The following is a 12595-nucleotide window of genomic DNA, read 5'->3' as shown; positions in this document are numbered from 1 at the left end:
AGGCTACTGCCCTCAGCAGTCATGTCTCTCTGAGGGCCAGGAATCTAGACTGAATTGAAGCTGGCGACATAATCCCTGGGTCACTCATGTCTTTCTAGAGTGACACTGCCTCCTGGAGGAAATCCCTGATGGTGCCTCATTTTTATTTCTTTTTTTTTTTTACATCCTCCGTGTCCAGTACCTGCTCATAGGAGACACAGTAAAGATATAGGTGTTGACCAAGTGCACATGGAAAACACATTGTTGTTCTGCATCAGTGATTTTAATTAAAAAATACGCCTCTGAAAGAAAGAAAGCTCACTGGTTTGTAGTCCTTTAAACAAAGTAATGTGATATTTAGTTGAGGTTTAAGTTATTGCACCACGTCTCTAGTACAGTTCAGTGTCTTTCTATTTTTAGACAAAGGTAAACCTTATTTTTGTTTCCTTTCAGAAGGGGTATATCCACTGAGACCAGAGGCCAAACTCCCTTTGTACTTTTCTTTTTATTTTATTTTTTTTGAGATGGAGTCTTGCTTCATCACCCAGGCTGGAGTGCAATGGCGTGACTGGAATCACTGCAACCTCTGCCTCCCGGATTCAAGCAATTCTCCTGCCTCAGCCTCCCGAGTAGCTGGGACTACAGGCGCACGCCACCATGCCCAGCTAATTTTTCTATTTTTAGTAGAGACGGGGTTTTGCCATATTGCCCAGGCTGGTCTCAAACTCTTAACCTCAATGATCTGCCTGCCTCAGCCTTCCAAAGTGGCATGAGCCATTACACCCCACCGAACTCCGTTTTTCATGAGTTGGTTTTACTCTGAGTTTAATTTTCTTCTTGTTGCAATGGTATGTCTATGTGAGACTTTCATTGCAGACCTTTTGCCACAGCCAGGATGGTCACACACAAATAGGTGCCTTTCCTCATGAAAAGAGAGGATACAGCTCTGTAGATTAAATACAGTCATGTGGGTTCTACCACAGCCTTCTCTTGAACATTGGCAAATATTTCTCTCTGGAGCAAGAGTTTTCATATATTGCTTAAGATAATCTTTGTGTTTAAAAATTTTCTGCCATATTCACATGTTATTTCCTCTATATGGGTTTTTTTTCCTCACATATTTCAGAAGTTCAACCCATGTTTTTGCCACAAAGGAACATCTCTTTTGACATCTAGCCCTCCTGAACCTCCGTGTGTCGTTTCAGCCTGCTGGGTCAGGCAGTATTTCCCACATCCTTTCTGGGTTCATTGGTATGCTGGCACTGATGGATTTTCAGCTACTGATCCTTAAAGATCTTTTTACAGCCTTCAAAATTGCATATATGTTGTTTGCTGAATCTCATCTTTGTGTTCAAAATATTTCTTCAAGTTTGATTTTGTGTTGAATTTTCTGTCACAGCCACTAGTGCATAAACAGCTTTTCTCCCATATGAATCAGGATGTTGTGACTCAGGTGGTAGACCCTGAGGAAAATCTTGCCACACCCTTCATAGTCACAAATGAATGGTCTCTTCCTCGTGTGCTTGCATAGGTGCTCTTCAAGCATCTGGACCTTATTGTAATTGGTGCTACATACAGTCCTGGAAGGAGCAGATGAACTTCTTAGAGAGTGCAGGGGAAGGAGGGGACAAGGGAGTGGGACTGGTCTCTAGCGGGCCACGAGAAATGCCTAGGCAATGCTCAGGGGTGACAATGCCTCGGCACCCACCCAGATCAGGTATGCAGCCACATGGGTGCACCAGCATATGGACCCAACACACAAAGCCAGCTACTTCCAAGAGCTCATTCTGGTGCCACCAGGCCCTGGCCTGTAAACACTTATTTCTGACCCACTAGTTTCACAGAATCATCATATTATATAATTTTCCTATTGCTTTTCCACCCCATACAAGACCTTCTGGGGTTATCTCTTTAAAAAATTAATTTGAAAAGGCCCTTTTTCCCATTTTCAAAATATTTGTTGATCTAACTGTGGTATTGAAACTGCCTTTGCAAAAATTGTAACAGTGAGAAAATTATGATGTGAAAGAGATCTCACCTAACTGACTCCATCTTATTTCCAACCTCCAAACTGCCCTTGTTCATTCCTGGGCAAAGGCCAAACTAACTTTTGGGAGGACTTCAGTTTGTAGTTTAACTTTGAAACAAAGATGATAACAGCCCTTTCCAGAAATGAATGTCCTTCTTGCCTGGGGACCAGATTGCCTTTGTAAGACGAACAAATTGGCAACAAGATTAGAAATTTTGGTTTAGGAGTCACTCAGCCAGGGGCCACATGATTCCAAACCTCCCCAGTCGCTCCTAGGGATAACATCGCTATTGTAAAACCCAAGATTAGTGCTTGAAATGTTTTTCAGACCCTAAAATTCTGATGCACCAGCTAGCACCATCCAGGCCAGTAATCTGGCTAAACCAGTTCTGCAATCCTGTCCAAAAACCAAAGACAGCAAGAAGAACCCACTTTGACCCCCTGTGATTTCATCTCCAACCCAACTTCTCAGCACTCCTCATTCTCTGGCCCCCTACCGGCCAAATTGCCCTTAAAAAACTCCAATCTCTGAATTTTCTGTCTTCTGTTTAGCTGGCTGTGCATGAATTAAACTCTTTGTCTATTACAATTCCTCTGTCTTAATAAATTGAGTTTATCTGGGCAGCAGGCAAAATGAACCCACTGGGCAGTTACAGTGTGACTTGAGCAATATACCTACTCAAATGTATCTACTGTAAATACTTTGAGTCTCTAGCTCTTGGTTTATTTTCAGCTAATTCCACAGAAGCTGGGATTGTTGAAAGACCTATCTTTATTTAGTGAAAAACAATAGAAACCAAATACCCTGGATCGAGTCAGGATAGAAAAATCTAAAGCTTAGCCCTTATATCCTGTATCAGGTATCTACTAATTCTCTCCTCCTCCAATTTTGTCTTGGCTTACAGCTATTGTTAGGTAATCTGACCCTATGTAAGCGCTCAAAGATGAAGTTGTATAAGTGGCAAAATGCAGAGACTTACAGGTGTGCCCTCTTGAAAGACATTTTAGTAAATACATGTGTGGTTTCTGGCTCCTATTGTTATTGAGGCCAGGCATTCCTGCTCCCATTGGTACTGCCATGAAGTACAATGTTTGGTTTCCATTTCATCTATAAGCTATAAACTCCATGGTGAACCTCATTATACTCAAACTTGTATTTCCGTGCCTAAGGTGGGCCCTGGCACATAGGAAGGTTTATTTCCTTTTAGACTAGAAGAATTTATTTCAGTTTTGTTGTTTGTTTGTTTGTTTGGTTTCACCACCGATATGGTGGTTATAAATTCTCTTATTTTTCTTTCCCTGATACTCTTATTTCACCTTCAATAATGAAAGACATTTTTGCTGAATGCAGAATTCCAAGTGGACAAGCTTTTCCCTTGTACTTTATTTATTTATTTATTTTTTTAGTTTGATTATGCTTTTTAATATTTTTTCTAGGTTATTTAATTTATTGGTGTACATTTTTTCTTTTCTTTTTTTTCATTATTTATACTTTAAGTTTTAGGGTACATGTGCACAATGTGCAGGTTAGTTACATATGTATACATGTGCCATGCTGGTGCGCTGCACCCACTAACTCGTCATCTAGCATTAGGTATATCTCCCAATGCTATCCCTCCCCCCCACCACCCCACAACAGTCCCCAGAGTGTGATGTTCCCCTTCCTGTGTCCATGTGTTCTCATTGTTCAATTCCCACCTATGAGTGAGAATATGCGGTGTTTGGTTTTTTTGTTCTTGCGATAGTTTACTGAGAATGATGATTTCCAATTTCATCCATGTCCCTACAAAGGACATGAACTCTGTTTCACTGTCTTGTGACTCCCCTTCTATTGCTTCTTATGAGAAAGCAGCCATCATTTTAATTGTTTCCCTGTATTCAATGTGTCATTTTTCTTTGTCTTCAAATATTTTTCTTCCATAGTTTGATTATGATGTAAATAGGAGTGTTTTTTCTACTAATTCTGTCTAAGCTTCATAAATTTGTAACTATATGTTTTATGCCACGTTTAGGGAATTTGGGCCATGATTTTCCTCTCAATTCTCTCTCTCGTCTTCTTTCAGGTCTTCAGTTTTGAATTGTCTCACAGATCCATAGGCTCTGTTAATTAAAATTTATTTCTCTGCCTTCTTCAAATCAGATAATTTCTATTGACTTGTAAGTCCATTGTTTCTTTCCTCCATCATTCCATTTGGTTCTTAAGCTTACCCAGTTAATTTTATATTTCAGCTGTTTTGTTTTTCAGTTCTAGAATTTCTATTTGGGCTTTAAAAAAATAATCTCTTTTCTTCTGCTGAAATTTCCCACTTTTTATTAGCTGTGAGCATATTTTCCTTTTTACTACTGAGCATCATTTTAATATACAGTTTTAAATAATTGTTGGCCAACATCTGGGTCATCCTAGCTTGTTTTCTATTAATCTTTCTCCTATGAATTGGTCATGTTTTCCTGCTTCTTTGAATGTTGTATAATTTTTTTTTTGAGATGGAGTCTCGCTGTGTTGCCCAGGCTGGAGTGCAATAATGCAATCTCAGCTCACTGCAACCTCCGCCTCCCAGGTTCAAATGATTCTCCCGCCTCAGCCTCCTGAATAGCTGGGATTACAGGAACCCACCATCATGCCCAGCTAATTTTTGTATTTTTGTAGAGATGAGGTTTCACTGTGTTGGGCAGGTTGGTCTTGAAGTCCTGACCTCAGGTGATCTGCCTGCCTTAGCCCTCTAAAGTGCTGGGATTACAGGTGTGAGGCACTGCATCCGGCCTGAATGTTGCATAATTTTGGATTGCATCCTCAATATTGTGAATGATGTGTTGTAAAAATTCCGGAATCTGAATGTTCCTCTGAATAGTACTGATTTTAAGCATATATTTAACTTTTATAGAATGAAACTGTAACACTGTATTTCCACTGTGATGAGTGTAGCTGAAATTTTACTTCAATTCCTTTAACTTTAACTAATTTGCTTTGAGTCTTTCCCCAATAGTCATGTTCAAGGATCACTCAGAGATTTGGGAAAATTTTGTACCTAGAATATGAGACCCATTGTTTGGCTCTCTCCTTTCTGGGAGTTTCTTCTTCACTTTCCAGTGGATCTAGTTCCCCAAACACAAGTCCTTTTCTCTGATTCTTAAGCCAGTAAAACTAGGATTTTCTATAAGAGTTTTAGCCACCCCACATGGTGAAAACACACATACGCAAAATGGGAGTTGATGTCTGTTCTTTTCTGCCCAGCATTGACTTCCCTCAGTATCTATCTGTTTTTATTCTCTATTTGGTACCTTCAGTTGTTGGTTTTGGAGGAAGAAAAACATGGGTAAACTTGAAGAGAGACTGAGAGAGATTAAGCTATCTCAAGAACAGAGAGAAAAATAATGGGAAAAAAGTGTCAGAGCACCATTAACCGTGCAGACATAAGTGTAATTGGTGTACTATAAGGAGAGGAGACAGAAAATAGAGCAGAAAGTATTCAAAGAATTCATGGTCGAAGAGTCCCCAGATTTCATACAAATTATTACTCTACATATCTAAGAAACTCAATGAATTCTAAGTGAGATAGATGCAAAGAAATCCACACACAACACATTACTGTAAAAATGTTCAAAGCCAAAGCCAAAGCAAAAATATTGAAAGCGTAAGAGAAAAAGGACTGATCATGTATAGTGGAATGCCAATGATGCTTACAGCTGAATTCTCATCAGAACCAATGGATGCCAGAAGGCAAGAAGGTAACATTTTGAAGGTACTGAAAGACAAAAAGTTGTCAATCAACAAGTTTATGTCCAGCAAAACTATCTTTCAAAAAAAGGCAATTTCTCAAAGAAAATATGCAAATAGCCAACAATAAATGAAAAGAGTCAATATCATTATCTATCAGGAAATGCAAATCAAAACCACAGTGAGATATCACTTCATACATGATAGGATGGTTAAAATATAAAAGAGACATAATAACAAGTATTGAAAAAGATGTGGAGAGTTGGAACCTTCAGATCTTGCTGGTAGGGATGTGAAATGGTGCAGCCACTTTGGAAAATAATCTGGAAGTTCCTCAAAAGATTAAACGTAGAGTTCTTATATGACCCAGTTATTCACTCCTCAGTATACGCTCTACACAATGGAATATTATTCGACAGTATAAAGCAATGAAGTACTGGTACATACTGCAACATGAAGGAGCCTGTAATACATTATGTTAAGTGAAAGAAGCAAGGTACGAAAGACTACGTATCAGTGAGTTTTTTGTGTGAGTCCATTTATATGCAAGGTCCAGAATAGGCAAATCCAAAGAGATAGAAAGTAGATTAGTGGTTGCCAGGGTCTGGGGTGGGAAGAAGGGAGAGAAAGGGAGGAACTGCTAATGGGTATGGGGTTTCATCTGAGGTCATGAAAATATTCCAATATTCTGGCTGAAGTTACACAACTGTGAATATAGTATAAACACCATCGATCTGTTCACTTTTAAGTGGGTGAATTGTGTGTATGTGAATTATTAATTATTTCAATAAATCTGTTTTTTTTTTAACTAGTCGTTAAAAGCAACCACAACAGCCACCCACACAGCTGATTTCTTAAGTTAAATGCTGGTGTGATGTCTCCTCTTCATTCTCCTTGGCCTAGCCTAGGTCTTGTGAGAATGACCTCTCTGTATCATTTGTCATCACATTCAGTGGCAACAGCAGGAGCTAAATTTATTTTTTGGTTATCTTTTCATCCCTCAAATTGTCACACCTATTTTTCAAGTTCCCCAAAAATGGTAATTCTATGATAATCCTTAGTAACCATTAGCATAAAATTAAAACATTTACCTTAGGTTCTTCTACTATGCCTGCTAGAAATTTAGACTATTTATTACAGCTCTCTTTTCAAGCAAGAACAAAATCTGCCTTTTGGACCCATGTAAGGCACTATATTTTAATACCTTTGAATGCTACTATTATTTTGGGGAAACTGGAAAGGACATCGGACTGGATATCAAGAGACCTGCTTTCTAGGCCAATCTTTGTCCCTTGCTAGGACAGAGGAGAGCCATCATTCTTCATTTTATGTACATTTTTCAAAAGTAGGGAATTTTTGATAATTTGTAGTTATGACAGTTAATATTATGATGAAATATATTGAAGGAGATATGTAAAATCAAGTGTCCATTTACTCAATACTAGATTGTAACATCCGTGGCTGCACTCAAAGGGTGGCATATTTTTATGTGGGAGCTCTCCACTAGTCAATGGCACAGACCCACCACTGACCTGGCTCCATTGTCCAGTCCCACTCTTAGAGGAGAAAGGCTCTGGCCAAGACTGTTCCAGAAGGATAATACCTTTTTTTTGGTCTCTTTCCCAGATATAAGAAACCTGGTGACATTTCTGCCTCCAAATTTTTGTGTAATTTAAGAACAGTTTCCTCCTCTGAGCTTAGGTTCTCTGATCTAAAATATGAGAGGTGAGAGTCTTTAAAGCATCATCCACTACTAGTATCTTATAATTCTATTTCAGCATAAACATCTTTAATTCCCAATCTTTTCTCATGAAGACACCATCATGACCTCTTATTCTTATTTATATCTTTTGGACTCCAAATACTTCATTTTAGAGATCTAGTGCTCTGAAGGGTCAAAGGGGCACCTTGTGAAAAGCCATATTTGTCTCTTTACATTCACCATGACTTATACTAAATTATAATAAGTGTGAAATGTCTCCACGGACAGATACAAAATAATTTTGTATCTTCTGGCCAGGGTCCGGTGGCTCAATGCCTGTAATCCCAGCACTATGAGAGGGCAAGGCAGGCAGACTGCTTGAGCTCAGGAGTTTTAAGACAAGCCTGGGCAACATGGTGAAATGCTGTCTGTATCAAAAATACAAAAAACAAAAAACAAAAAATTAGCTGGGTGTGGTGACGTGCCTGTAGTCCCAGCTACTTGGAAGGCTGAGATGGGAGGATCACTTGAGTCTGGGAGGTGGAGGTTGCAGTGAGCCTAGGTTGTGCCACTGCACTCCAGCCTGGGTGACAGAGTAAGACCCTGTCTCAAATAATAATAATAATAATAATCTGTTCCATCTTCCAAGTGAATTATGAAGGTATCCACAATAAGACCAGCAGCCAGGGTTTCTCTCTTCCAAAGAGTGTGTACGAACATAATTTTTCTGAGTATAGACCTATGTTTGTGATTTGAATTAGGCTGTCACTAAGTAAGGGTTTAAAATTTGTTGTGCATCATGTTTCTCTTCTGAGAAGTGTCCTTTCTAGAAATCCCATTTAACACTCCCTGTCAGCAACTACTTCATTTTTCCTCCATATCTGACTTCCTCATGTAATCCATTTCTATTGTACCCTAGTTCCTGATAGAAGCTTGACTGAGTCAAACATCTCTGGAATGTGTCTGTGTTCATGCACCTAAGCCATAACCAAGCAAGTGCTGGGTGAAAGAGATGTAGGAAACCAAAATTTGTTGAACGCCTTTGTGCCAGGTACTTTTTACATACATTATATCATTACATATAAAACGTTACGTCATAATTTATGTAACATTCCTATGAGGGATTCTATCATCCCTATTTTACAGATAAGGAAAACTGAGGTTTGGTTAAGTTATTTGCCTAAGATAACACTGCTAATAGGTGGGGGAGCCTGGTTTAAACACAAGTCTGTTCAATTGTACTGCATCTTACTGATTGTACTCATGTGTTAACATTCCCACCAAAAGTGTAATAGTAAATCACTCTCAGTTATTAATTGGTGTTCAATTAGAAAGGCAGAATTTCTCTAGGCATTCAAACAGAGAGAATAAAATCCAAGGAGGGGCAAAAAGGGCCAGTGATGGTACCCAGAATTCAAAAGAGCTATGTTGCTGAGGTTGCCAGCATCCTTTTGTTAATGCTGCTGCTGCTGCTATTGAAACCACTGCTGCTGTTACCTTTCAAGAGGCTGAGAATTTGCACATTTACAGAAGCTGCAAGAACTTGGGAGCCCATAGTCCCCTTGATGTTACTGGACTCACTGCCAAGACGTCTGGATCCTGTGGCTGCCTGTGGCTACTGCCAGATCCAGAAACAGAAAATGGAGGATAAAATAGCTTCTCCCTTTTGCCTTCTGGTCTTTCTCTGAGACCTGCCTTTGGGAAAATCTAACTGGAAACTACCTAGTTAGGAAACTTGGGAATCTAGTTTGTAAATTTTTAGCACCTTACAATATAGAGAATATTGAAGGGCAGGAATTAAGCTAAAAGTCAGCTTTCCCAGGGAGTTGTTATTTGTTTTGTTATTTAGTTATTTGTTTTGTTATGTTTTGTGACAAAGTCTCACTCTGTCACCCAGGCTGGAGTGCAGTGGTGCAATCATGGCTCACTGCAGCCCCGACCTCCTGGCCTCAAGTTATCCTCTGGCTTCAGCCTCCCGAGTAGCTGGCACTACAGGTGTGTGCCACCAAGCATGACTAATTTTTAGAATTTTTTTTTTGTAGAGACAGAGTCCCACTATGTTTCTCAGCCTCGTCTTGAACTTCAGGGGATGATGAGCATCCCCTCTTTTCATATAAACTGTGTTGTGAGTCAGTGTCCCCGGGATGAGTGCTGCAAAGCTCAGAGGAATTCATACTAACCATTTTTCATTTTTAAATATCTACTGAAGATTCAACATTCAAAGGAAGAAAATGAATTGGTAACCTTGGGAAGGCCTGCACCTTCACTAGGAGAGGTAATTTTGGCAAAGTAAAATAGGGATCTGTCACCCAAAGATATGGAAATTGTTCCTGAGCAGAAAACACACAAACAAAACCAGCTACCCCTGCAGTCCCTGTTACCAGGTACTGTTCTCTACTTTCCTCCCTCCACCCTATAGAATATAGCCTATTCTATATTCCTCTGGGATAATGGCTTCCATTCTTCCTTCCTGGGAATTGCAGCCTAACTCTTGTCGCTAGTCTGGTGGCCTGGAGCTTGGTGACCCACCCTGGACAGTCCTTCTGAGCCTCAGACCTGGTATCTATATATTTATTGAATTATCTAGTTACTTTAGCTTGCAACTTTTGAGAGTAATTATTAAGAGCAGGTTTTGCTCAAATGTAAACAGAAGTTTTAATGAACTTTCAACTCTCTTCTTCAATCAGATAAATATTTCTTGGCATCCTCTGCACCCTGGACAGCTCCCCAAGTGACCTTCTGTTACTCACAATCTCTTCTAATTTCCATGAAAAGTGAATTAAAGCCATGACATTATCTTCCCATTTGGTCTATATCTTTCTTTACCTTCTTTCTTCCTCCCAAAGTCTGGCCCACTTCATAATAAATATCACTGTGGCTACCACTTATTGAGCACTTACTATGTTGAGCACCTACTATGTGCCTGGGGCTTTATACACAATGTTTTGTTTAATCCAGATCAGAACCCCAAAGAAGTTCTCATTACAAAGACAGAAGAATTAAGGCTCACATATCTAGTTAGTGATGAAGTTCATATTTGAGCCCAAGTCAGCCTGATTCCAAGACCTGCATTCTTTTCATAGAAGTATGGGATATGTATTACCTCCAATATGGGTACAGGAGATGCAAGAGAGGTCAGAGTCTACTTGGACTTCTTTCCAGGTCTTTGTTTCAAAAGAACACTTTAGACAAAACAGGATGTAAAAATATAAACAGAATGAGAAAAGCAGGAAATCCCCATCTTTATGATAGCTTTACTCTCAGCCTTTCAGGATGAACTTACTGATATGAATTGGCTGTGTCTCCACCCAAATTTCATCTTGAGTTGTAGTTCTCATAATCCCCACTTGTCATTAGAGGGACCCAGTGGGAGGTAATTGAATCGTGGGGGCAGGTTTTTCCCATGCTGTTTTTATGATAGTGAATAAGTCTCACAAGATCTGATGATTTTATAAAGGGCAGTTCCCCTGCACACGCTCTCTTGCCTGCTGCCATGCAAGATATGCCTTTGCTCCTCCTTCGCCTTCCACCGTGGTTGTGAGGCCACCCCAGCCATGTTGAACTGTGATTCCATTAAACCTCTTTTTCTTTTTCTTATTCCTCCCCCTTCCCCTTCCCCTTCCCCTTCACCTTCTCCCTCCCTCCCTTCCTTCCTTCCCTTTTTGTTTTTGTTTTGTTTTGTTTTGTTTTTTTGGGGATGGAGTCTCGCCCTGCCACCCAGGCTGGAGTACAGTGGCGCCATCTCGGCTCACTGCAACCTCCACCTCCCAGGTTCAAGCAATTTCCCTGCTTCAGCCTCCCAAGTAGCTGGGATTACAGGTGTAAGCCACCGTGCCTGGCTCCTAAACCTCTTTTCTTTATAAATCACCCAGTCTTGGGCAGTATGAAAATGGACTAATACACTTACATATAGCGATCCCCATATTTCTGGAGACTATGGAATTTAGCCTCTGCTTTGTTTTAGCTTGCTAATAGAAAATTAAAATGTTAAAGTTTCAAAAAAATTATTCTACAACTTCACTCAGAGGCATGACTTGGTTTGGTTTGGTTTAAAGGTGGTATCCTTTGCTGTTTAGGAGAAATAATATGTGAACTAAAAGAATCCTTTACAGTAAATATATAAAACTCATTATTTAAAGAAATATAGCACCTGCAAGTATGATAACAGCTGCCTTCATTTAGACATAGCTTTGTCTTTAGCCAGGAACCTTAATTAACTCAGGATTCTTAACACAATCCTGAGAAATACAGAGTTAGAAAGGAAGGTTGTGCACATTTACTGAGTATCTATAATGTTCCAAGCTCTGTCATTATAACCTGCTGTCTCTATTTTATTTAGTAAGTTTAAGAAAGGTTTTGAGAGGGTCATAGAAAAACATATCATTGGAGAATTATCTAGAGAACCAAAAGAGGACAAGTCTAAAAAGAGACCATGGTGAGCCTCAGTTTCAGGCCATCTTTTCTTCTCATTCTATGTATTCTCCCAGCTTCATTTTATTCATGCCAATATCTATACTTACCATTTATTAATGAATGATTCTCAAATCTACATAACAATTCAGACCTCTCCGCTAAATTCCTTTTTACATATCCAGCTGTTTTCTGAATATCTGCCTTGGATGACCCACAGGCTTCTCTGAAGTGTCATGCCCCAGATGAAAGTATTTTCCTGCCACTCAGCTCCTGTTCCTTGTTTCATGGTCCAGTGAATGGCACCACCATCCACTCTATTGCCCAAATCACCTATGCAGTTTCCTTGGCTTTTTATTTTCCCTCACTGTTCTCTATCCTACCCCATCCCCCAATCTAATAAATGGCCAAATCCTGTCAACTCTATCGTCCAAATATCTCTGGAATCTACATGCTTCTTTCCATCAGCCACTCAGCTAAGCTTTCAGGCGTTAGAGTAGCTGATTAAAAATAGCCAAAATGAAAGTAACAGTCAAACCTTGACTCCCCTTTGTTTCATTTCCCCCAGTGGAACAGTGTGTTGGTGGAGTCAACTCACTGTTTAGGGATCTCCAACCAAAAGGCACCTGCAGTTTTATGGACCCTGGAGCCAGAAGTGAGGAAGAATGGGAGGGCTGCAAGTAGAAAATATCGAGTACTGAGTCAGAGTGGGTAAAGTGTCTTCAAGCTTCCCTGAAAAGAAGAAGACTTCCAAATGGAG

At 39.8% G+C, this 12595-nt stretch overlaps 1 pseudogene, besides 1 other annotated feature; it reads right to left on the bottom strand.

Annotated features, from left to right (window-relative positions):
- On the bottom strand, positions 767 to 1687 carry GTF3AP1 (general transcription factor IIIA pseudogene 1; annotated as a pseudogene).
- Positions 12496 to 12595: an enhancer, noted in NCBI's record as "active region_28185". NCBI's record gives its function as "activates an Ori minimal core promoter by ATAC-STARR-seq in GM12878 lymphoblastoid cells {active_cell/tissue: GM12878}" and the evidence as "EXISTENCE:reporter gene assay evidence [ECO:0000049][PMID:35858748]".

The sequence above is a fragment of the Homo sapiens genome, chromosome 9 (genome assembly GCF_000001405.40).
Source record: "Homo sapiens chromosome 9, GRCh38.p14 Primary Assembly".
Lineage (NCBI taxonomy): Eukaryota > Metazoa > Chordata > Mammalia > Primates > Hominidae > Homo > Homo sapiens.
The sequence above is the reverse complement of the archived record's forward strand: the minus strand, read 5'-3'. Positions and strand labels throughout refer to the sequence as shown.